The following is a 26,576-nucleotide window of genomic DNA, read 5'->3' as shown; positions in this document are numbered from 1 at the left end:
TGGATATTTTATAAAGTTTCTTCTGGCTATTGTGCAGCTGTACACGATTAAATGAGAGAAGACTAGTGCTATAAAATAATTCCAATGATAACAGGTGCTTCCCTAGATGAGGAAAGTGGAGCGGGCATGGAACCATGTACAACCACATTTATTGAGTTTTGCCTCAAAGTTAAAAAACAAAATATTTATTGTTCTCTCTCTCTCTACATACATCATTGGATTTTGTTTCAGAAAACAAAATGGTAGCCCTATAGTCTGGGCACTTGGATCCCTAAATGAGATCATATTTCCATCATTCTTGCTTATCTTTTTTGTTCAGACCTAAAGCTTCAGTTTAAACTTCTACAAATAGAACATGTATTAGCCCATCTACTATTATCTAAATATCTATATAGTGCATTATTGTTAGTAAGTTATCTTTGCTTCTAATTTGATCTGCAACATAAACCTGTGAGTCCTTTTTAATTTTTGGAAATCAAGATTCAGAGAGGGTTGGCCATGTTCATGCAGAAGGCAAGATGCCTGGTCTTTTGTCTCCAAATTCTATGTACTTGTCACATCTCCACACTGTTACCCACTCTTTTCTCGGTGTGTTAGAAGAACATTGGATGAGCCAAAGTTAGTGAGGGAGGCTGGTGTGAAGGTTTGCAATGGTTGCAGTGTTCTGCTTGCATCTTTGTGTCCCACCTAAGCTCAGGAAAGGAAAAGGAGGAGGGAAGCAGAGGGAGGATGAAGGAGAAATGCTGTGACACTTTCTAACATTGCAGGGTAGTTCAAGAGGGGTGCTAGAAGACTCATTCCCCAGACTCACAGCTTTTGAGCAGCCTTTGAGCTGCCTGAAGCTGCCCTACACTCAGTGACAAGTCGTTTTTAGAAGATAGGTATAGGAGAAAGAGAGCCACTATTGCATTAGGAAAACACTAAGTTGAGTCTTTCAATTTCCCCATCTGCACATGAGGACACTAATAATACTTATCTCCCAGGGTTATAGTTAGATTATTGAGAGGATTAAATGAAATAATGCATAGAATGCTCTTCTGAATAATTGTGTAGCTCCCTGCCTCTCTTCACTTCTTTACTCAGATGGCTCCTTTCAGCAAGGCCTTTCCTGTCCATCTGATTTAAGCTTCAAACACTACTTCCTTTTGTCCTTCCTGTTTCCCTTCTGGCTTTATTTTCCCCACAGAACCAACCTCCAACTAATATAGTAAATATTCTCCTTGTTTATTCCCGTGTCTACACCTTTCACAGGAAAGCAAGGGTGGCTTGTCTGTTTTGTTCATTGCTGTATCTCTAGTGCTTGAACAGTGCCTAGAACAAAATAGGCAAATAGGTACAAGTGGGCTGAAGAACAGATAGGTAAACAATAAGTGAAAATATATCATTTGTTTGTTTTGCATTTTCAGAAGTATTTGTTATATGATCAAAGTCTTAGCCCAATTTTTTTTACTATGTAGTACATGAATATTGTCTCACTAAAAAGAAATAAAAAATTAACACTATGAGCATAGAAAATAAAATATACAAATGATTATGGCCAAAAGGACCTTTATAAATCTCTCTATTCCACTTCTTCGGACAAATAGCCACTGTTTACTCTTAGCTGTATAAACCATCATATCTATCCTATGCAGTCACAGGTGTATTAACAAGTATAGTAATAAATATGAGAACACACATTTTCATAATACTATATGCCAAGCACGGTTCTAAAAATTTATGTGTATTAACTCACTTAATCTCTACAGCAATGCTATTAGACAGGTTTTATTTCTACCCAAAATGACAGGGAAGGGAACTGGGGCATAGTTGCTATTTCTTTAATATATAAATAGAATCATATTAAATCTATTAGCCTACAATGTGCTTTTTCCATTTCAAACAAGTTGTAGGTAAGTACACCTTGATATTTAAGGTCAGAATCCATTTATTCCTTCCATAAGCACTTCAGATTTGTAGAGGGCTTTAATTTCACCCCAGCCACTTACTGGTTTTGTAATCGTGTCTTCAGTCTCCACCCCCAAGGGTGCTGAATTGAATGATGTCGAAACTCCTTCCCTAACCATGCATGATCTTGCTCTGCAGCATCTCCCAACTCCTCACTTACCCTGGGATTGGGTGCAGGCAATCTCCTCTATTCCCCACCCCTGAGGTTAATTCCACTGATAAATTCCCACAATGCCCTTTGCTCCCTTTGCGTCTTTTATTTTTTTTTTCTTGGAGACTGAGTCTCGCTCTGTCACCCAGGGTGGAGTGCAGTGGTGCCATCTAGACTCACTGCAACCTCTATTTGCTGGGTTCAAGTGATTCTCCTGCCTCAGTCTCCTGAGTAACTGGGATTACAGATGTGCACCACCACGCCCAGCAAATTTTTGTATTTTTAGTGGAGATGGGGTTTCGCCATGTTGGCCAGGCTGGTCTCAAACTCCTGACCTCAGGTGATCCACTCGCCTCGGTCTACCAAAGTGCTGGAATTATGGGCGTGAGCCACCACACGTGGCCCCTTTGTGTCTCTTATTAGCCTCAGTATTTGATTCCTTCCTCCCTTACACCAAGGAATGAATCATTTTCTGCTAAATGGGAAGGTTGGAAGGTGGGGAGATCATGACTTCAAACATTCTTTAAAATCAGCAGGTGCCCAAGGAAGTCAAGCAGGGAAAGCAGTTGCTGCGATTTCTGCTTATTTGCTGTTTTCAAACCAAATGTTCAACCTCTTTGAGCCTCCAGTTTCTCGTATGTTAAATGATAGTAGCTCCCATCTTACCACATCACGCGTTTGAGGTCTATTATTTTGGGAGAATTTTCATAATCATGAGTTATAACAGTCCCTCACACTAATGATTTGCATACTGTGATTTGCAACTTACACAGTCCTTATTGAAGAGAGTTATTTCCTAGACTTCAAATATCAGAGGTGAATCTTATTATGGATAAATAGATCGAGTGGTTTCCAAACTCTCTGCTTCACCCACTCTGGCAAGAAGAGTCCAGAAGGCATAATGGCAGTCCATGAACTCTTTTCAATATTTCAAAAATGCTAACGGGAATCATATATCTCCCCAATAAAATCAGACTTTAATTGCTTTTGGTGGGAATTATATCAACTAAAATTGGTACTTATTGGAAAACTAATTATCCTCAAATAAATGTAAGTTGGTAGACATAACCTCTTGAAATACTGGGAATCTATGGAGAGAAAAGTCACAGAAGGAAGACTTAGTAGTGAAAAGATGGAGGGTCTAGACCACAGGGACACCTACATTTTACAAATGAACCCCAAGAAGCAAGTTGTACCCTGAAATTCTTACTTCATCTTCTTTCCCACTCCTTCATTAAATTAGGCCTCATCTGTCCTCTACTGGTATTATGTATGCACTAGTCCTGGCTAGTTTCAGTCTGTCCTGCCCCTTGCAATCTGCCCTTCAAACTGCAGAATTCTTTTCTGCAGTTAAAAGGCCGACAGAGTGGCCTTTTTGGTATTCACCTTTCCTATTCCCCGATGAATTGATGCTCTCTGATGACTCCTCATTGATGTTAAAAGAAAGGCACACTCCTCTACCTAAAATACAAGATTCTTCATGCTCCAGCCTCACCATATTTTGAGATTCCCTATGCTCCAGCCACACCCAATGATGTTTGGTTACTGAATGCACCAGGCCTTTTCACTGCCAGTCTGTGTCTTTCAACACGCTGTTCCCTCTACCGAATGCCATTCCTCTACCTGTTCACCTGCTAACTTTGACTTTCCATTTTCAGCTTCATCACACCTCTTCCAGGAAGTCTTCACTGTCTGCAATCCTTTACTCCAGGATGGATCAAGTGCCTGCTCTGAGCTCTTCATTCCATGCTTCATTCTTGCAAGCACTTCTGTTACTGCATTTCTATCTTCTCAGTAGATAAGGAATTGTTCAATGAACATAAATTCCCCTGGCAGAGCCAGGAGTAAAATGCGAGGTCTTCTGACTGCCAGTCGTAGGGCTCTCTGTGTTGCAGACCATTGCAAGGCCTCTGAAAACTTCAACCACTTGGCCTTTCAGTAGAGTCCACATTTTGAGAATAATGTATCTAATATTGAATGTATTAAGGAAAAATGTTTACAAATGCCAGAGAGGAAAGAAGGCATACCTTTAGGGACCTTAGCACATAGATTCTGTCCTCCAAACCAGAAGCATATAGAAGAGGTTTCAGGGCAGAAGCCAAAGTGGAAGCACCTTCCAGGCAGAGGCACTGGAAGAAGCTTCACTACAAATAGTGTTCAGGTACAAACAAGGCCAAAGAGACACCACCACTTGTGTGAGAGAGAACCCTCTCTCGACAAGTTGGGAGGCCTTGTTCCCATTATGCCGAACTCATTCAAAGTATGTTTTCAGGCTGGGCACGGTGGTTCATGCCTGTATTCCTAGCACTTTGGGAGGCTGAGGTGGGCAGATCACTTGAGGTCAGGAGTTCAAGACCAGCCTGGCCAACACTGTGAAATCCCATCTCTACTAAAAATATCAAAAAAAAAAAAAAAAAAGGAAAGAAAAAAAAATAGCCGGGTGTGGAGGTGCACACCTATAATCCCAGCTACTAGGGAGGCTGAGGCAGGATAATTGCTTGAACCTGGGAGGCGGAGGTTGCAGTGAGCCAAGATTGCACCACTGCACTCCAGCCTGGGCAACAGAGCAAGACCCCATCTCCAGAAAAAAAAAAGTTTTCTTCTGACTTTGTGCTTTCTGAGATCCATCAAGTACAATACTGGGCAAGGAGGCCAACATCTCTCACCTGCTTACAGGTTGATATGGTTTGGCCCTGTGTCCCCACCCAAATCTCATCTCGAATCGTAATCCCCACGTGTCAAGGAAGGGGCCTGATGGGAGGTGATTGGATCATGGGGGCGGCTTCCCCCATGCTACTCTTGTGATAGTGAGGGAGTTCTCATGAGATCTGATGGTTTAAAAGTGGCAGTTTCCCCTGCACAATCTATCTCTCCTGCCACCCTGTGAAGAAGGTGCTTGCTTCCCCTTTGCCTTCTCCACAACTGTAGTTTCCTGAGGCTTCCCAGTCATGTGAAATCATGAGTCAATTAAACCTCTTTCCTGCATCAATTACCCAGTCTCAGGTATTCTTTATAGCAGTGTGAAAATAAACTAATACACAGGTACAGGGTCCTACCCACTGTGGTCCTGGCACATTGGGACCACTGTCCCACTTTCAGAAACTCTAGGCCCTGGCCTCCAGGTACCACTTTCAGAGACTAGAAATCCAGTAGCAAGTAAGGAACTCCCCCAGGCTTTATAATTGGGAGACCCAGGAGCTTGTAATAATTAGGGACACTACACTTAATTCACAAAATACTTCTATCTGCACTATTGGGATCTCTAACAACCCTGGACAATTGACGAAACAGGGATGCTTACAAATGAGAGAGCCAAGGCTAAAAGATGTTGAGTGACTTTCCTGAGATCTGACTAAAGTAGAGAAGTTTTCTGTGTACTAACAGGGCAATCAGCCTAAAAATGTTGTGTTTTACCTCTGTTTTGCTGTGCAATGTTGGGGGAGTTACTTGACTTATCTGATCTTCAGTTTCCTTATCTATAAAAAGGAGACAAAAATAATATCACTCTTCCAAAGTTGTTGTGCAATGAAATGAGATGATGTAACTAGCACACTGATGGACGTATACTGACAGTAAATACCTAGAACTTAAGAGCTCCAGTCTTCTAACTCCAAGCCCTTTTCTCCTTTCTGATACTTCTGCCTCAAAGATGTGCTGAATCTTTGGATAACTCATTTAACTTTCTGGGCTACAATTTTTCCAACTATAAAGGAGGTCCTAGTGACCTTATACAACTTATTTGAATTTCAGCTCCCTCAACTCTAAATAGGAATAATTACAGTTTTTTCCTTATAGGGTTATTCTGAGAAGTGAAGATATTGCTTGGAAAATGCTTAACACAGTGCTTGGCACATAGCCAAAACTAAATCTAAATTATCCATTGTCACAGTGCTTGTCGTTAGTATTAATATTATTAATATTAGAGCCTCCCATCATGGGATGGGATATATACCCTCTCAGTAAAGTGATCAGAACTCATTTCCATTTGGATCAAAAGGAGATAAGAAAATTGCTATAATTTCACTACTGATGTCTGCAACCCTTTTTCTTCTTTTTTTTTCATTCAAATATTACACAGTTTAATGGCTTAAAATAAAAATACATTTTACAAGAAATGAAAAATTCAAGGTAAATAGGTTGTGTATTATTTGAGTAAACTCTTCTTCACATATGAGATGCACACTAATTTCTGAGGGTTATTTCTCACTAATTATAAGCTTGACTGGCTCAGATGGTTGTCTTTTGTGAATAAATGAAAATTCTTTCTATCCACTAGTCATATTAAATCAGACTGATTAAGACATATAATTTAATCGCCCTCAAACTTCTTCCATTAAGTCAGTGTGGCGATTCCTCGGGGATCTAGAACTAGAAATACCATTTGACCCAGCCATCCCATTACTGGGTATATACCCAAAGGATTATAAATCATGCTGCTATAAAGACACATGCACACGTATGTTTATAGCAGCACTACTCACAATAGCAAAGACTTGGAACCAACCTAAATGTCCAACAATGATAGACTGGATTAAGAAAATGTGGCACTTATACACCATGGAATACTATGCAGCCATAAAAAAGGATGAGTTCATGTCCTTTGTAGGGACATGGATGAAACTGGAAACCATCATTCTCAGCAAACTATCGCAAGGATATAAAACCAAACACTGCATGTTCTCACTCATAGGTGGGAATTGAAAAATGAGAACACATGGACACAGGAAGGGGAACATCACACACTGGGGACTGTTGTGGGGTGGGGGGAGTGGGGAGGGATAGCATTAGGAGATATACCTAGTGCTAAATGACGAGCTAATGGGTGCAGCACACCAACATGGCACATGTATACATATGTAACAAACCTGCACGTTGTGCACATGTACCCTAAAACTTAAAGTATAATAATAAAACAAAACAAAAAAAGAATAAATATAGCCCAGAATTATTCTTGATGTTGCTATGAATTCTAGGAACCTTCACATAATTCCATCCAGATGTTGAGTTTTAGCATTTACCTCCAAAATACAAAGATATTGTTCAAGTTATTACTGGTGTAGCTGTTGATGAATTATTTCAAATTTACCTTTGTTCAGTGCTAAAAAGAAAATATTTCCTATGCATGAGAAATGGTAGAAAGACCAGAGCCACTTTAGAATAATCACTAGGGGAGAAAGGCATCTAAGATTATATATATTATTTTAATGAAGGGTGCTTGAAATTGTATATGGCTTTCTTTGAATAATAAGCATCTACAGATGAGGTATGATTAGAAAATGCAATCTCTTTTACAGGTTCAATTAAATCAACTTCATTTCAATAATGTTGAATGATTAGAGAAAATTTTATCAGAATCGCACTTTGAGTCATCATTCAAAGAATCAATTTTTTTTTAAATTCTGCAATGTGGTTTACTAGATAATGACAACAGGAACTTTTTCTTCTTTGAATTCACCTTAGAGAATCATAGACTCCTAAGCCTAGAAACGTCTTTAGAGGCCATCCACCCAACTTCCTCTCCAATGTTTAAATTATCTCTATGACTCCTCCACCAAATGGCTGTTAGACCTATACTTGAATACCTCTGGTGATGGGGATCTCACCACCTTGTAAGCTAACTCCTTCTTTACACAGTTCCATATGCTTACTTCTCTTATATTAAGCCAAAATGCAAGCCACAGCAGCTGCTTCCATTTGTCCCTTCATTTCTAACTGGATCCACACAAGTCATGTAGAATTTGCAGAAGTCAAGCTTCAACATTTTTTTCAAACTATAACAAACTTGAATCATATTTGTTGATCACTTTTTTCCTCCCTCGTTCTGAAAAAAGTCTTAAGCACATTTCACCATTCGAAGGATTTTTGTGTGTGTGTTCTCCCTCATCTGCTGGTTCCCACTGGGATGAAACGCAATAAAAAGTCAGAAAGAAGTATAGGTTTGCCTTCTGGCTTTGTCACTTAGACGAATACCACCATAAAAAAATGGTGAATGCTGTCGGTTAAAGTGAACTCCTTCCTCTGCCCTCTACATTTCACTGAGTTCTGATGCAGGCCATTTGGACAGGGAGACCTTTTTCTGGAGATGGATAAGTTGGTGAGTTAAAGATTTTGCATTAAAAACAGATTCTGGTTACAACATCCTCCTGAGAGTTGCATTTTAGTCCCCTGTTTTGTGACTCATATCAATAAATCTCAAGGGGGCACATCAGTTGGTGATAGGATATCTGAGAACAGCAAGAAGTATCTGCCAATCCAAGCATAAAAAAGAGCAGCTCCAAGCCAGCACTTGCCGTTATCAAAGGGTGTGTCAGCATTCTGGTCTTCTTTCTTCTTTCTCACACTCCAACTTCTGCATTCCCAGCTCTTTTTAATGTTCTGTGTATCTCTAATCAGTTTCCCAATCTTCCGCTGGCTTCAGGAAGTCACATGAATAGACAACAGGAGAGCAACTTGTAATATTTTACACTTTCCAATAAAAAAATGCTGGTTGGGAGTGTTAATATTTAATCACAGATAAAGTGTCTGAAAAGTTGAAGGAGAATTTTCCATTAAGATATGGAGATAGTCAGAAAGTATTCTCACCTTGTTAGAAAACCTTATCAAGCAAGTAAACAGCATATGGTGTTAGGAAAAGATGCTGGGATAGCACCCATGGGGCTAAATCTCTTGCCCTGCTGGGGGTTAAATGTGAATTCCAAGTCCAGGGTAAATGCAAACCAAAGGAAGTGCTTCCTGATCCAGTGTACTCTGACCAGTGTGAGCAAGGTTAGGAATGGAAAAGTGGACATTGTGCCTTTGATGTGATGGAAGCTGATGTCAAAGATAACTTTGAACTTTTCTCCTGTGAGAATCGTAGCCCCTATGGACTACTACTTGCAATAATAAACTGCAAGCTAGAACTTACATTTGTGTTGCAATGTATAATTTATAAAGTGCTTTCTCAGCTAGTGCATCATTAGTGACTCCATTATGGGTGACTGATAAGGTTCCCCTTTTGTGGAGGAGGGAACAGAGGCTCAGAGGCATAAAGTTATTTGCCCAAAGTTGTAGAGTAAATTTATGGTTCGGTTTTGAATGCATGTTTTTCTGACCCTAAATCCACCACTTTTTCCACTAAAGCACATTTTTTTTTCAATAGAAAAGGGAGAAGCAGGTCTATTTGGGGCATAAGGTGATAGTGATCATAATGCTGATGAGAATGATGGCAGTGATGGTGATGGCAACTTACATTATCTTCAGATTTTCAATCCTGCTAAGTACCAAGCCATATGCTAGGTATTTTCCATGACCACTGTTATTTAATTCTTAAAACAGCCATTAAATATACTTCTTCTTATTTCACTTTGGAGGTTAACAAAGGGAGGCTCAGAATAAATTACTTTCCCATTGAATAATTTAATAATTTGAAAAACTGAATAATTTCCATAGGGAATTATTCAAATCTAGTTTTAGATAAATTTAAAGGTCTGCATTTTTACTAAACCACAAAAAAAGGAAAAACAGTGGGAAGCAAGTGTTGTTGGTTAATTTTATGTGTCTACATAACTGGGCTAAGGGATGTCCTGTCCAGATAGCTGATAAAATATTATTTCTGGGGGTGTCTGTGATGGTGTTTCTGGAAGAGATTAGCATTTGAATCAATGAGAGAATACCACTCTCACCAACATGGGTGGGCATCATCCAATCCCTTGAGGGCTTAGATAGAGCGAAAAGGGGAGGAAGAGCAAATTTTCTCTTTGTCTGAACTAGGACAACCATCTCCTCCTGCCTTAGAAATCAGCACTCCTGGTTCTTGGGCTTTCATGTTTAGACTGGAACTGCAATTCAGGCTAACCTGGGCTTCTGTCTTACAGATAACAGACTGAGATTTTTCAACCTCTATAATCACCTGAGAAAATTCCTTGTAATGAATCTCCATTATCTATCTATCTATCTATCCATCTATCCATCCATCCATCCATCCATCCCTGTTTTTCTGTCTATCCTATCTGTCTTTCTATCTATCCTCTCTCTCTCTCTCTCTCTCTCTTTTTTCTTTTTTATTTTTCGGAGTCTTTCTTTGTGTCGCCAAGGCTGGAGTGCAGTGGTGTGATCTCGGCTCACTACAACCTCTGCCTCCCAGGTTCAAGCCATTTTCCTGCCTCAGCCTCCCAAGTAGCTGGAATGGCTACATTTATTTTTCTTTTTTTTAGTAGAGACGGGGTTTCACCATGTTGGCCAGACTAGTCTCAAACCCCTGACCTCAAGTGATCTGCCTGCCTCAGCCTCCCAAAGTGCTGGGATTACAGGCGTGAGTCACCACAACTGCCCCTATTTATCTATCTTTCTATCCTATTGGTTTTGTTTCTCTGAAGATCCCTGACCAATACAATGGGGGAGGAGGGGACTTAGGGTTGGGCATGTGGAGTTCAGAGGCAGTCAGGAAAATTTATTCACACAGCAAATCAAGTCTTTTTCAAACTTTATTCAGTTAGCAATGCTCACAAGGCAGCTAGAAACTAACATGGGCCTGGAATTGAGGAAAGTTGCTGGGGACAGACAAGCAGAGCCAATTAGTTCCTAAACATGCATTGAGCATCTAGTACATGCAATTCTAGTATACACAAGGGCAAGTTGTATGGGGATCCTAAAAGAAACCTTGAAATTTATAATTAGAAAATTATTTCTTAGCCTTGGTGAAAACCATTTCAGCAGAGCATAGGAGGCTGGATTACAATGAGTGTTGGAGTCATAATTGGAGATGAGGAAGGGCAGATAGCAAACTATGAAGTTTGTGGCAAAAAGGAGAGTAGTAGCAAAATGACTTAAAAGATTATTAAAGTCAAGGGATTTTCCCTCTGCTCCTTTTAAGATAAGAATTGAACATTTTTATGAGCTAGAGAAATATATAGTGGAGAGGAAGAGATTAAATATATAGGAGAGAGAATAATCAATAGGGAAATTGAAGGCAACGTTGAAAGGTTGCAATTCAGAATTCTCAGAATTCTCTGAGGCTTCAAGCACATTAAAAATTTGGATCAATGAGTGAATCATATCAGATTTCTGGAGAGAGAAAATTTCAGGATTTGAGCAAGGGAGACCTGGGTTCAAATCCTAATTCTGTCACTTTCTAATTCTCTGATCTGAACAAATCAACCTCTCTAAGCTTCAGTTTCTTCATTCCTGAAAAGGACACAAAATAGAGATGCCATCAACCAACTCCTTAGATTGTTCCAAAGCAGATATCCCCGAACTTGCTTGATTCAAGCACCTATAGTACCTCAGTAATTTTTTTACACTGCTCCTAGGCAGCAAAAAAAAAAAAAAAAAGTTTCTTTTCTTGAATATTTTGGTCCAAATAATTCAGTAAATATGTATTTCTTATCATTTAATACACATCATCTGAAAGAAAGATCATGTTATTTTATCTTAAATCAATGCAATCATTTACTCACAGGCTGTATGCACCTGTGGACATAGCACAACTTCTCAAAACTTGGAATCAGATTGGACAGCACAGTTCCCGTTTTCTATTCCACACTGAACTTTGCACAGTACTTAATTTTTTAATACACTAACTTTGTAAAGCCCAGCATTACACACATATATATAACATCATTGAAGGGATTGTAACATGATCTGACGTTGAGACCGTGAACTACCTATGGACTGTGAATGCCCCAATAGCTGTGGGGGTATCTGGTAGATGTGAAATGTCACTGAGATCTTCTCAATAGTGTTGGCCAGATGCGGTGGCTCACACCTGTAGTCCCAGCATGTTGGGAGGCCAAGGCGGGCAGATCACCTGAAGTCAGGAGTTCGAGACCAGCCTGGCCAACATGGTGAAACCCCGTCTTTACTAAAAATATAAAAAATTATCTGGCCATGGTGGTGCATGCCTGTAATCCCAGCTACTCAGGAGGCTGAGGCACAAGAATCGCTTGAATCCAGGAGGCAGAGGTGGCAGTGAGCTGGGAACTCGCCACTGCACTCCAGCCTGGGCAACAGAGTGAGACTCCGTCTCAAAAAACATAAATTTAAAAAGTTAAGTATCTCTCAGTGCCCTTCTAAGTTTTCTGTGGCCCCTGGCTGGAGACCCTTGACTCGTTTTGGAAATCATCATGCTAAAGAGTAATTAATATATGCATAATACATAATATATAATGAGCCCTTACAAATTGATAAGAAAAAGTGGAACATCACAGTACAGGTCAAGAAATGGTGGGGAAGTGGGAAGTATATAAACAGAAACAATCAGAAAAGAAAATCCCAGTGGCCAATACAAGCCTAAGGTAGAATTAGACTTCACTAGGTTTTAGAGAAACGCAAATTGAAAAAATGAATTCACATTTTCACCCATCCAATGCATGAAAACTAAAGATCAATTCCACCTAGTTGCTGATGAGGGTACAAGAAAATAAAACTCTCTCATATTGCCAGTGAGAAATAAATTGCTGCAGCATTTTTGGAAATTAAGCTGGCAGCATGTAATAAAACTTAAAAATTATATCTGTTTAGCCCAGAAATCCTACTTGAAGGAAACCAGTGTACAGAAATGAAAACACCAGTATACATAAATATATAGTCAAATATTTTGATTAGATAATTGTTTATTGTAGCATAAAAAGGGTCTGGAAACAACCTAGATGTCTGTCAATAGTAGAATAATTCTGATATATATCTTTCATGGAGAGCAGCTTACATATTAAATGAATTAGTTAGATCTATGTGTATTGGCTAAAAAAGATGTCTGTGATATAGTGTTAGAGAAAAAGACAAAATGCAGAGTAAATGGTTACAGTAGAATATTGTTTTTTGTAAAAGAAATAGAATAAAAAGAAACTTAATGTTTGTACAAGCATATAGAAAAACCAGGTAGGTAAAAGCTAACACACTTAATCGTTGATATTTATTACAATGTGGAGGGGGTCAAGTAGGTGTGTATAGGGAAAGGAAAAATTACTGGTTTTATCTGTGTTCATCTATGAGTTGTTTTATAGGTGGCAACCAACATTTATTGCCCTTAGCAGTTTGCACAGAAAATTCAATGACGTATTTGGTTGTTTGCTTTCCCCTCCTAAATGCATTTAACATCCCTGTAACACTGTGCCTAGCACATAACAGGGATTTTTTTTTATGCCTTGGGGTTCTGTTTCTGATTTTCTTTCTGTGTGTTTCTCCATTATGTTGTTGCATTTTTCTCTATTTACGTTATCTCCCTTTCCCTTTTTCTCTCTGTCCCTCCCTCCTTCTTCCTCTCTATTCTTCCCCTCCCCTTGTTTTTATGCCTGATTATGTGGACACAGACAAGGATTAAAACAGGGCACCTGCCCTTGAGGAGTTTACAATCTGCTGGGCTGAGGATCAACACATGTTCAAAAAGAGAGGAAAGAAGTCAAGGGAGATCATGCCAGATGGACTTAATTTCAATGAAGAACAGGGTAAGTCATCTACTTAGAAAGGGCGGGAGCTGAGGGCTTATGGGGAATAAAAGTGGCTTCGATTATGGAGTCAACAGGAGATGAATGGAGGGATTGTCGTTCAGTGATCCTCCCTGGGTGGTTTTGAAATTCATCTTTCTGAAGGCCGGAGTCTGGGCTCAAGCACCTCTGAAAGCCTCTTTAGGATCTGATCCCTTCATTTTTTTAAGTCTGTATCTAAGATGTATGAGCACATAAACTTCTTCCCCTACCTAATGTTAAATCTTTTCTATGGTGGCTGTGCTCAGAAGCTACCTGCTCCTGCCTATCCCCAAAGCCCTGCTTCACCAAAAAGAGAAATACCAGATTAGCTACCTGCACCATCCCAGCAACCTGTCCCTTCTCCCCTCACTCCTCACCCCTTTTCCCAGACCCTGGTCTCTCTTTTCAGCACCCAGGAGACCAGTGTCCCTGGGCCATTTCTGCCTGTCTTCCAGGACAGTAGTCCTGGCAGAGGCAGAAGAAGGGTCAGATGGCAGAGCTGCTGGGCTGGGCTCCCACAAGCTGTGTCCTAGTTTTCCAGGGTAAGCTGTCAAGAGTTGCCTCATTGCAGTCCCCATTTCCCTCTCCCTAAATCCCTTTTCTGAGTCTGAAGAAATGGCATTGCCAGCCTCAGGAAAAGCCTCTTGCCCAGGGAAAGCCAGGTCTGAGAAGCTGCCATCAGACCCCATTGTCTATGTCCTGGGACAACTGCCAAGGCCCAGGCATCTTGGCTAGGGATGTAGAAGGGCCCTATTCTGATCCCATCTGTTCAGAGTTGGGGAGAGAAGCCAGATCTCCTCCCCCTTTCCTCTCCCCTCAATCCCAAGCTCTGTGGATGAGTAGCTTTTCAGAGATGAAAAACCAGAGCCCTGTCAAACAAGTCATCTTGCTTGACAAAGATAGAATCTAAATATAGAAAGGTACAGCTAAACTCCACCGCAGAGCAAGCAAACCCAATCTGGCACACAGCTTTTGGGGGTTTCCTCTCCTACTATGGCCCCTAGCCCTGTGCCCAGGACATAGTGAAGGGTCAGTAAATGTTTGGCTACATTGATCTGCAGAATCCTCACTAACACCCCTCCAGCACAAGCACAGGTCTGTTGAACAAACATCCCCATAGAACCCAACGGATCTGCCCTAAAGCCCAAAGAGCCTTGGCCCCTCACCTATTGGGAACATCTTTCCAAAAATACCACCACTTTCAAAGGAACTCCCCTGAGAATGGGGGTGGAAGTCTAATGCATATATTTTGCTCTGCTATGTGTGAAGCATGGTATATCCACTACTTTATTCAGCCTTTGCCATTGCAAGGATAGAATTATCCCCCTTTTATAGATATGAACACTGAGTCTAAAAGATTAATGGATTCGTCCAATGCCACCTTGCTGGAAAACTCAGGCCCTTCTCCCCTGTTCCAGAGAACCCAATGTCATGATGGAGGGATTCATGCTGCTTGACCCCATCGATGGCCGTGGCTTCCCATAATTGTTCATCTCAGGATCTCCAGGGCCCTCTTTTTGTTTAATTAAGATTAATGGAATCATATTTCTTGGAGCCAAAAAAAAATCTTATAGGGAGCATCAAAGTGAGCTTCCTGTTCTCAAAGTGGTAACAGGCTACTCCAATGGCACATCAATGTCCTAGGGTTGCCATAAGAAATTAGCACATACTTAGTGGCTTAAAATAACACAAATTTATTCTGTCATAGATGTAGGGATTACAAGTCTGATATCAAGTTGTTGGCATGGCCATGCTCCCGCCAAGGTCTCTGGAAAAAAATTCCCCTTTGCCTCTTCCTACTTCTGGTGGTTACCAGCAATTTTTGGCATTCCTTGGCTTGTAGCTGTGTCACTTCAATTTATGCTTGTGTCTTCACATGGCTGTCTTCTCTCTGTGTGTGTCTGTGTCTTTTTCTCTGAATCCGCCTCTCCTTTCACTTATAAAAATCCTGGTCATTGAATTTAGGGTCTACCCTGATGCAGTATGACCTCATCTTTATTTGATTATTTCTACAACACCCTATACCAAGTAATACCAAGTAAGATCACATTCTAATGTTCAGGGTATACACGAATTTTGGGGGGACATTATTCAATTTTGGGGGGACACTATTCAGCCCAGCACAGATGGTATAACATGGTGCCAAGGGAAGCGTACTCAGAAGTTCAACTGTCTGGGACTTTAATCCCGATCTGCAACTTGCTCACTGTGTGACCCAGAAAATCTCGTAACTTCTCTAAATCTCAGTTTTCTCTTCTGTAAGATAGGGATAATAATAGTACATACTTCAGAGGCTAGTTGGCAGGAGTCACTAAGTTAATCCATGCACAGTGTTCAGCCCAGTGCCTGGCACACAGTGGGTGCTCAAACAACAGCTTCTCTCCCTGCATGTTGGTCATTAGGGTCACAGGCTCTGAAGTCAGGCTCCTAGGGTAATATCCTGTCCCTATCACTTTCAATTGTAGGAAGATGGGCAAATTACATACCCCCATAAGCTTTAATTTTCTTACTATAAAACAGAGATAATAATTGTATCTACCTTATGGGTTATTGCAAGCAGCACATACAGTCACCCAAATAAAGTATATAAGAGTATCTTGTAAGTTCCCAGTAAGTGCTCACTCCTATGATATTGATGTTCCCCATTTGAATTCCTGTGGTATTATGCAATCATCTGTGCAATAGGAACCGGATTAGCAGAGGGTCCTGGGATTCTGGCAGAAAAAGACCAGAGCTTAGTGGCCCATCAGAAATTGGCTTTTCCCCAGAAGAGAGGGAACCACAGGGCCTGAGGTACTGAGGCTAGGCTTGTCTGTTTTGGGCAGTGGTCCAAGAGGCTAAAGCCCTCTCCTTTGGGGCTGGCTCATACCCAGTGAATTCATGGGAAATCTACGGGCATGCTGAAGCGTCTAGGCTAAGCACCACATGTACACACACTCCCACCAGTCTCCAGCTGCCAGATGAAGGTGACCTAGGAGATCAGGGTTGGAGGATGGCTGGGGACCCAGGGGTGGAAAAGCAGCATGAGCTCATTAGTAACTGACTGTTCCGGTGGAACAAAACCTCTCCTAGGGGCCATAACTCTGTCCCTGGAAGAAAGCATGATGAGAGGGAGGTGGCTGGGACTCCTGCAGCCTGTATCTGGGGCTGCGCAGTGGAAGCAAAGCTGAGTCCCCGCCTTCTTTAAATCCCCAGCATTTCCATGGAAAGAGACAAGTTGCTGCGTGAAAAAAGAAGGAGTTGGGGGAATTTGAAAGGAAGCTGAAAAGCTGGCGACAGGGCTTCCATTACGTAGACAGTCATCCTGACATGGTACCTGAACAAATCCCATCAAGGACAGATTCTCAGTCTTGAAGAGGCAGCACAGTAAAGGGGAAAGATCATGAGTTTTGGGGCCAGGTTCCCTTGGATATTGTGGGGTCCCCACACTTCTGGATGATGTTGGATAACTCTTTGAGACTTAGGCTTCACATCTGTAAAATGGAAATACTTATTTTTCAGAGTTGTCATAAACACTAAATGATTTGACTTATATCAACCTAATTCCTACTGGCTCATTGAACTCAGCTCAGCTGTCCCCTCTGTTCGGATGCCTTCCCCAGTGGGGCTTAGTTAGGTATCCCTGCTGGATACCCTGCCAAGCTCTTACACATTCCCTCTGCCATAACACTCATTCTTTGTTACTGAATTATAATTTCATGTTCATTTGTTTATCTCTCATACTAGGCTGTGAGTTCCCTGATGACAGAGAATGTCTTGTTGGTTTTGGAATTCCCAGTGCCCAACTTAATTCCTGGCACAGCTGAGTAAGCAAATGAATGAACGCCATCTAGTTGAGTAAAAATAAGTCTCGTTAGGCCGGATGGGTGGCTCACGCCTGTAATCCCAGCACTTTGGGAGGCCGAGGTGGGCGGATCAAGAGGTCAGGAGATCGAGACCATCCTGGCTAACACGGTGAAACCCTGTCTCTACTAAAAATACAAAAAAAAAAAAAAATTAGCCAGGTGCGGTGGCGGGCGCCTGTAGTAGGGTTTTTGGGCAACCGTTATTATCAAAGCACTCTGAAGACACAATGGAGGGATTTACTGTTGAGTAATTTTGTATTCTTCTTACAGTAACTTTAATAGAGGTGTAGTAAGGAAAGTTTGGGATGGGTAAAAGAACCAGCAAATGGGGCAATGCTGCAATGTCTCAGGCACTAGACTCTGCATTTCCTATTAATCATGAAATCATTATCAACCAGCTGTTATTATCCTTAGTGTGCACATGAAGGAACCGAGATGCAGAAAAATGAATTAACTTGCCTGAGATCACAAGCCAGTAAGTAGCAGAGCCAGAGCCACTGATTGAAACCCTGATATGCCTGGCTACCCAGCTTATATTGTTTTCTTCAGGCTCCTTCTGATATGAAGTTGAGGCTATCTCGAATTGCGTGACTCACAAAAGAAAATGAAGGGGAAAAAAAGCAAGAGTGGAATTCTCTAGGGTTTATTAGATTTATACCCTATGTAGGATTTTGCCTCTTCTTTTTACCCATGTATTTGCTAAGGAAATGTGAGTAACATATTTTGGACACCGAGGCATCCAGGGACCCTGGCTGAATTAAAACCCTGTTTCTCAGGGGCAGATATTCTTCCTAGCCCTGATTATAATGGAAATGATTTTGTGATCATAGGAGTCTCAGAAGGGCTTGGGGCTGTGAGGATGCAGACAGGAGAAGAGGGAGAAAAATATCTTTTTGCTTTTCTCAGAAGGAAAATATTCTCTAGATATTGTAAATTGATGAAAGCTCAGGGGAAAAAATGCCCAGCTGTGGGGCTGTGGAAAAATTCAAACATCACTCAGGTGAATGGGATCCTTTGTTAGGTATGATGGGGGGCCAGTAGGGGCTCTTTACCTGTATTCTCTCTTTGAGTTCTTACAAGACTACGCCCATTTTACAGATGAATACGATGAGACTTGGAGCTATGAGTCATGCTGCCAGCGTGTGGCATAATTGAGATACTTATCCAAGCATATCTAGCTACAAAGGGCATCTGCCCCTATAGGTGCAGGTACCAGAGTGGAATCTTTGCCAGTAGAATAAGGCTGTGGGCTAGATACTAAGTGAGACTCAAAATCTAGTCTAGCATAAATACAAGTTTTGTTTTATTTTTATTGAATCACTCAAGTATTCATTTTGATCTTCCTCTTTCCCACCCCTCCTCCTCACACTTCCTCTGGCCTAAGCACAGCACTGATTTTAGGGCCATGGAAATTTGCTTCTTCATGGTACCCATCAGCCCATGCGACAATGACAAATAACACACTATTCCCAAGGACATATTTTAAAGCATAGGTAAAAATTTACAAGAATATTCGCCACCAAGGTATTTATAATATCAAAAGGCAGCTCTCCCAAGCACCCCAAAGTAGGCAAATGAACGAATAAAGCTATGGCACAGTTATATGTGAAATTCTGTGCAGCAATTAAAAATTGCTTGGGTGATAATATTTAGGAACACAAACATGACTGCATGTTCACTATATAGATATATTGGTTTTTCAAAGTAGATAATAAAACCATATGACCAGTGGTATTGTAGGTGATTTTTATTTCTTTTTTATTATTATTAGCATGTTGTCAGTGTTCCATAATGAATATCTGTGGTTTTGTAAACTGAAAAAATCATTAACACTTATTTATAACATGCATAATAATCATTCCAGCCAGCAGTCTCCTTAGTTGCAATAATAAAAAGACCACTTTATACACAAAGGTAGAGAAGAAGTGCTGAGTCTGCAGAAAAATCTGACTAAATACTTGGCATCTGCTCAGAGAAAGGGGAGCATCTGCTTTCTGTCTCCCCAAGAGTGGACATGCTTGGATAACAAGATAGATTTGGGTTGAATACAAGAAGTCCCATCTGAAAGCAATAGTCATCCACATATGCTACAGACAACTATCCTGTGGATATTGATAAGCAGAATAGACATCTAAACCAAGAAGGTTCATGTCATAATGATGATGGTAGTACCAGCTACAAAGCACATACTATGTACCACATACCTAAAGCAATTCAACTATAATTGTCACATAATACTTATTTAACGTGGGAAAACAGGTTAGATTGGATGCTTAGCAGCACACATTCAAAACATAGCAGAGTTTATCTTGAAACCCAGTTCTGTTAAGCTCCAAAGCCCGGTATCCTTACACTATGCTGATTTCCTTGGCTTCTTCTCCTGCCTAAAAATATTCTTCTCACCAAGCTTGCTGCAGTGCCCAGTATTTTTTAATAAATGTTTTACATTTTAGAATACTTTCAGATTTACAGAAAAATTGTGAAGATAGTACAGAGTTTCCATATCACTCGCACCCAAGTTGCTCTATTATTAACATTTTACATTAGTATGTCACAATTCATGAAATAATGTTAAGATGCTATTACTCATTAACACACACACACACACACACACACACACACACACACACACTATTCAAATTGTATTAGTTTTTACCTAACATGCTTTTTGTGTTTCAGCCTCCTACATTACATTTATTCATCAGGTCCCCTTAGGCTTCACTGAGACATTTTCTCAGATTTTCCTTGTTTTTGATTACCTTGACAGTTTTAATAGAATGTCACTCAACTGGGATTTGCGTTATGTTTTTTTCTCACAATTAGACTGGAGTTATGGGTTTGGGGGAGGACGATCACAGAGGTAAAGTGTCATTTTCATCATCTCATATCAAGGGGACATACTTTCAATATTACATTACTGATAATGTCCAGCTTGATCACTCAACATGACATTACTGATAATGTCCAGCTTGATCACATGGCGAAGATGGTGTTTTTCATGTTTTCCCACTAAAGTTACTCTTTTTTTCCCCTCCTTTTCATACTAGAATCTTTGGAAGAAAGTCATTATGCATAGCCAACATCTATGGAACAGAGGGAGTTAGGCTCTAACTTCTTGAGAACAGAATGTGTGTATATATATATAAATTATTTAAAATTCTTCTGCATGGGACATTTGTCTATATTCCCCCATTCATTTATCTACCCCAGCATTGATTTAAGTCAATATGGATTCATGGAATATTTATTTTATACTTTTGATTAGAATCCAATGCTACATAAACTCTCTTGCGTTGCTCAAATTGTTCCAGCATTGACCATTGAGAGCTCTTGCAATTAGTTCCTGCATCCCTTTGACATCCCCATTACAGTGTGTGTGTTTTTTCTAAAGTGGTATACTTTCTGGTACTATGAGATACTCTGGGTTTACCCTGTATATTTCCTGCACCAGTCTTAGACATTTTTCGAAGTAACCTTTGAAATTCCAATACCGTTCTCCAAGTACCACTGGAGAATGGCGTTAGAAACCAAGATACAGACACTGGGTATGCTTGTTACTACTGGTTATTAGGGTGTCATTGGTTGTAAAGTCACCCAGCTGACAGAGTAAGGAACTGTATGTCTGTGTACTAACCCATTTATGTACACATACCTATATATAGTTCTGTATTTAATCATCTGTGTCTATGTTAAGCAAAACACGAGCTCATATTGATGTCTTCAACTCTAATCCATTACCACATGGACCATTCTAGCTTCCTCTCCTTGTTTATTTGCAACCTTCCCCTCCAGCAGTGAGAAACCTGGCTCCCGCCATCTGCCATCCATTTACTTAATTATTCAATTCCAGCATACACATGTAGTGGTTTTAGAATTGTTAACCTGTACCTCCATGAGAAACAGCTTTTTCAACAAAAGTACAGTACTTATGTACAGTTTCTTTGCCTTTAGACTTCCAGACGCCAATCATTTCCAAAGTTACTTAAGTTAGCTTCATTTTTCCCCACCCTCTTCAGTGAGGTCATTTTGTATATTTATTACATAAATGCATTGTTACACATGCATTCTATCCTGAGCTTCTCTCAACTCCTAAATTTTCATTTTTAAATTTACATACATCAAGGTTCACTCTTTGTCTGTAAAATTCTCACAAAATCTCAATGTTTTCCTGAGGTTGTGTCTTAGCACTGTAATTGGGTGACTCCTCTGTACTACAAAAATCATTTTTCTACTTGTCACCTACTCTCTTTCCTGGCTGAAGCATTCCCAATGTCCTTAAACCCCAAACCCCTACTGATCCCACCTTGGCTTAGGTGAAAGTTATACTATAGGGGCTGGAGTAATAGAATTTTCCTTCTTCCAACTGGAATAAGGTCATGGCAGTGTTTCTGCCTGGAGTATGTGCCTTTGTATGAAGAGGCTCTGGGAGGATTTCATGATTACTCTTCACTTCACATCTACCTGCCAGAGACACAAGGGGCTCTTCTACAGATCTTCAACTTGAAAACCTAGTAGAGTTCCCAGTAGAGGCCTTCATTTCGCAAATGACCTGGCAGGTTTATTGTAAAGCCCACAAAAGTATAAGGGTCCCCCTTAGTCTGAGGCCCCCAGGCATTTCTCACTCCCATGCTTGTTCATACTCATCCACCAGCAGTTCTTCAAAATTATAATTTCAATATTTCTATCAATGTATGCCTCCAGCAGCTTTTCCTCCAGGTAAGCTGGGTCTTTCTGGATGAGTCTTCTACAGATTTCAGTGTGCAGTTTAGCCTACAACCTTACTTCTCTAATGGACGCAAGAAAAGTCATTGATTTTTAGTTTGCCCAGCTTTTTCTTGTTGTTAGGATGAAAGTGATCATTTCTAAGCTGCCTACATGTCAGAGACGAAATCCAATGTTCAAGATTTTTACCATTAGAATATCATTGCTTTGAGTAAAATCACTGTTATCACTTATTGTATTAGTCATATCCTATCTGGGAAAGATGAAGAAATCTACCCATGTCAATTACTAGAGAGATGGACAAGACCTTGGCCCTTCTGCTTTTCAAATAAGAAAAGTAATCATTAGTGAAGGGGAGAAAGTTTAGTGAAAATATTCAATGAATTCCATTTGTATTGGTTATTGAGACCAGCTTAAAATAATTAATTTCTGGGGTATTTGAAAGCAGATTTCCAGAGAATAATTCACTAAAGTTGAAATGTCAGGTACGTCTTCATTGATTTTACATCCCAGCACCTAGCAGCACATATGACAGAACAGGTGAGGTGCTCAAAAAGAATTTTTTGTTTCGACCATCTATAAAGTTGAATGTAAGAGGCCATGGAATGACCTGTTTGTTCATCTCATTGATTCATTAAGACATGGAATGTAAAAGGCCATGGAATGACCATCTACTGAAACTAAAATTAGACATTTTACCATAATTATTTTTAAACCACTATAAGTAGATATTGGTTAAAAACTTTATTATTGATAAACTCATGCTGGGTGAGTTTTTTAAAAACTTTCTTTCATAAAGTCACAAGAAAAATTGCTATATTTGAAGATCTTCATTGTATATTTATACAAGTTAGCAAATGCTGCCTAACAAACCACCTCAAAGGTAATTGCCTAAAACAACACACGTTATTACTCTTGAGTTTGTGTATCAGCAGAATGACTCCTCCTGTCTCAGTTTGCCTTCATTGTGTATCTGGAGTCAGCTGTGCATCAGTCAGTCAACTCTGTTGACTGCAAATTTCTCTTGAATGGACTCATCTGTACTCTCCTCTATACATTGTCTGATTTTCCAGAAGGCTACACAGGGCTTTTGACATAGCAATGACTGGGTTCCCATGGAAGTGAGCAGAAGCACTCATGAGGCCCAAACTCAGAACCAGTGGCATTGCCATTTCCATCATATTCTCTTAGCCAATGTAAATTGCAAGGCCACATTCAAGAGATAGAGGAACAAACTCCCTTGCTTGATGGAAAAGACAGCCAAGTGGTTTTGCAAAGGGTCTAGGTACAGGGAAGAGTGAAGAATGGTGGCTATTTTGGCATTAGCTCTTCAAGTTTCTAATTTTGAAACTATTTATCAAGGCTAGGTGTGGTGGCTCATGCCTGTAATCCCAGCACTTTGAGAGGCTGAGGTGGATCACTTGAGGTCAGGGGTTCAAGACCAGCCTGGCCAACATGGCAAAACACTGTCTCTACTAAAAATACAAAAAAAAAAAAAAAAAAAAAATTAGCCGGGCACCGTGGCACACGCCTGTAATCCCAGCTACTTGGGAGGCTGAGGCAGGAGAATTGCTTGAACCCAGGAAGCAGAGGTTGCAGTGAGCCAAGATCACACCACTGCACCACTCCAGCCTGGAAGACAGAGTGAAATTCTGTCTCAAACAACAACAACAACAACAACTATTTATTCTAAGTATTCAAAATGCTATTTGGTATTATTATATTGTGTAGATGATGCTAAATTTAGAACTGAATAAGATGTAGAACTGGGGCCACCTCTCTAGTCAAAGTATAATCAAAAAATGAATTCACTAACAACCTTCCAATAAGTCACCAAGGTATCCAAATTTCTCCTGCTCTGGAGGGGGTGGTGATCTCTGTTGAGTAGCTCACGTGTTTCCAGGTAGATTACATAGGACCTGGATGATATCTTGGCTGAGTGGCATGACTTTTCAGGCAAAATCGATATCACTTTGGGGCACTAAGTTCCAAATATAAGACTTAGATCATTTTTCTGACTTTATAATTCACTAATTATGAATCTTTTAATAAAGCATACAATTTGTATGTATGTCTAATATTCAAATTACTTGCTTTCTTTTTCTGGCCGACTTTGCAAACTCAGGTAATGACCAAGAGGACATTCATGTATATTACATCACTTGGTCTTCAAAACAGCCTTGCAAGCTGAACAAAGGCCATGGCCTCCATTTTGCAGATCAGATCATGGAGGATTAGCTAAACTCACAGACTGCTCATGGCTCAGTGCACCTTTTTGCAGTTTCCTAAGTCCTAGGCTCACATTTATAGAGGGTTATCTTCCTCTCAAGCACCCTCCTCTTAATTTCAGAAAATAGCCAAGTTTTGGGTTGAACCAACACTTCCCTGATAAGCCATTCTCTCACTACCACCTGTTGCAGCTGCCACCACTGTGGACTTTAAAATGCATTTTTGCAGACTGACTCAGTTACTCCATTATCCCAAGTGCTCCCCAGAGAATTTTAAGGGAGAGATTAAGAAACACACAAATAGAAAACAAACCCAAAATCAGTTACATTGGTATAAAGAAAAGAATTAACTTTTCCCTTCTTTTACCCAGTAAAGATTTGAAGCTATGAAAAACCCTCATTAACCTCATGACTTGTCCTTATTAATTATCAATAATAATAACCAGAGCTCATGGGTCAATGTTTCATGGATAAAATTATGAATTAAATGTTGATGATGTTATTGTTCATAATAGTCATGTGATCTGATGTTGCTTTTATATTTTCGCCTCCCATTCCAAAACTTCATTGATTAATTCTAATAATACACCCTATTTATTTACATCTTTTTGACTTTATTTTGCAGATGGTAAATTAAGGCACACAGGAGATAAATAACTGTTTTAGTACCACTGAAAGAGGTTGTTTCTGAACCCTTATGTCTGAGCCTTGTACCCTGGGGTAAATGGAGGAATAAAAAGAGCAGGGATTTTAAAATCAAACAAAACAGTGTGCAGTCAGGTTCTATTCCTTGACTTTGAGCAAAAAATTGTTTTCTCTTTCACAAATGACCTGGCAGGATTATTGTAAAGTTCCTGGCACAAAGTAGGAGGCACTCAATCAATGGCATTTTATTTTCATTTTAATTTATGCTTAAGAATTGTTTGAAATAAAACAAAGGAACAAAAACAAAAAACACAAATCTCCAAAAATAGTAATACTTGAAGTTGCTAACCCCTTAGTCTACTCTTGTATTCAGTACTCATTTACTGTATATATTTTATGTGCAAGATGCAATTTTCAATGTAACTAAGAAGCATTTCTGTAAATGTGGTCTTTAGACCTACATTAGAATCAGCTAGAATAATTGCTTATGAGAAATTCCTGGATGCCATCAGAGATCTACTGAATCAGAATCTTTGTGGGTGGAGACCAGGAATCTACATTTTGATTAGTATCCAAGTGATTCATCTACACCATTAAATTTTCAATCTATTCTTATAACACTTATAACCTGCATTTCTTATTTTCCAGAGTCCTAAAGATTAAGAAGAGAGGTAAGTTATGTGCACCAACTAATATAACAAAATGTACAGCGTGGTTAAGTACCCTAAGGAATGTTCAAACAAATTACTAGTTCAAACGAAACTGGGGCAGGAGAGATCACTTATTCCCATAAGTAATCAGTGAATTCTCCCAGCAAAAGATGATAGAAGTTTTTCATGAAGGTGTGACTATGGTCAAGTTTTCAGCTTTCACTGGTAGCTTTGGCAAAAGCTGATCTTTCCAGAATCATAGGGGATTGTGTTTACTCTATTGTGGTCTTAGGCATCATGATAGCAAGAAATTCACCAGTCATCCATCAGACAAATTTGGGGTCTTTTGTTTTTAGTGACCAGAATTCTGAAATTCTAAATCATTGTATTTTTTGTTTGGTTTTGAGATGGAGTCTCTCTCGCTCCATCACCAGGCTGGAGTGCAGTGGCGCAATCTCCACTCACCGCAACCTCCGACTCCCTGGTTCAATCAACTCTCCTGCCTCAGCCTCCTGAGTAGCTGGAATTACGGGCATGCACCACTACTCCCAGCTAATGCTAGTTTTTGTATGTTTAGTAGAGACGGGTTTTAGCATGTTGGCCAGGATGGTCTCGATCTCCTGACCTCGCAATCCTCCCACCTTGGCCTCCCAAAGTGCTGAAATTACAGGCGTGAGCCACCGTGCTCAGCCTAAATAATTGTCTTTTAAAGTATTATAAAAGTCGTGAAGATTTTCAGGTTCCAAAATTTGACTCCGAAACTCAGAGACTAAGCTTATTTTTGTATTGCCTGCACTCTGTTAAAAGAATGCTTCTCTGAGTGTTTGAAGGTGGAATTCACCTTCTCCTGGTCCAGGGGCAATGTAAGGTAAGAACATGTTAATAATTCGAAATACTATCTCATTATATTGATTATTAAAGAACAATTTCTTTATTGTATAATTTAT

At 40.0% G+C, this 26,576-nt stretch overlaps 1 long non-coding RNA gene across 7 annotated transcripts in view; it reads left to right on the top strand.

The window, feature by feature from the left end:
* Positions 1–13,284: 13,284 nt before the first annotated feature.
* Positions 13,285–26,576, top strand: part of LOC105376242 (uncharacterized) — a 35,678-nt gene continuing 22,386 nt past the window's right edge. For 6 of the 7 annotated variants that reach the window (XR_001746912.2, XR_001746911.2, XR_001746914.2 and 3 more), the window contains exons 1-2: positions 13,285–13,518; positions 25,628–25,650. This is a non-coding gene — a long non-coding RNA (uncharacterized LOC105376242). The remainder of the gene's footprint in view (positions 13,519–25,627; positions 25,651–26,576) is intronic. The other variant, XR_930281.3, reaches the window with a different exon arrangement.

The sequence above is a fragment of the Homo sapiens genome, chromosome 9 (genome assembly GCF_000001405.40).
Source record: "Homo sapiens chromosome 9, GRCh38.p14 Primary Assembly".
NCBI lineage: Eukaryota > Metazoa > Chordata > Mammalia > Primates > Hominidae > Homo > Homo sapiens.
This window is presented reverse-complemented; position numbering and strand designations above follow the sequence as displayed.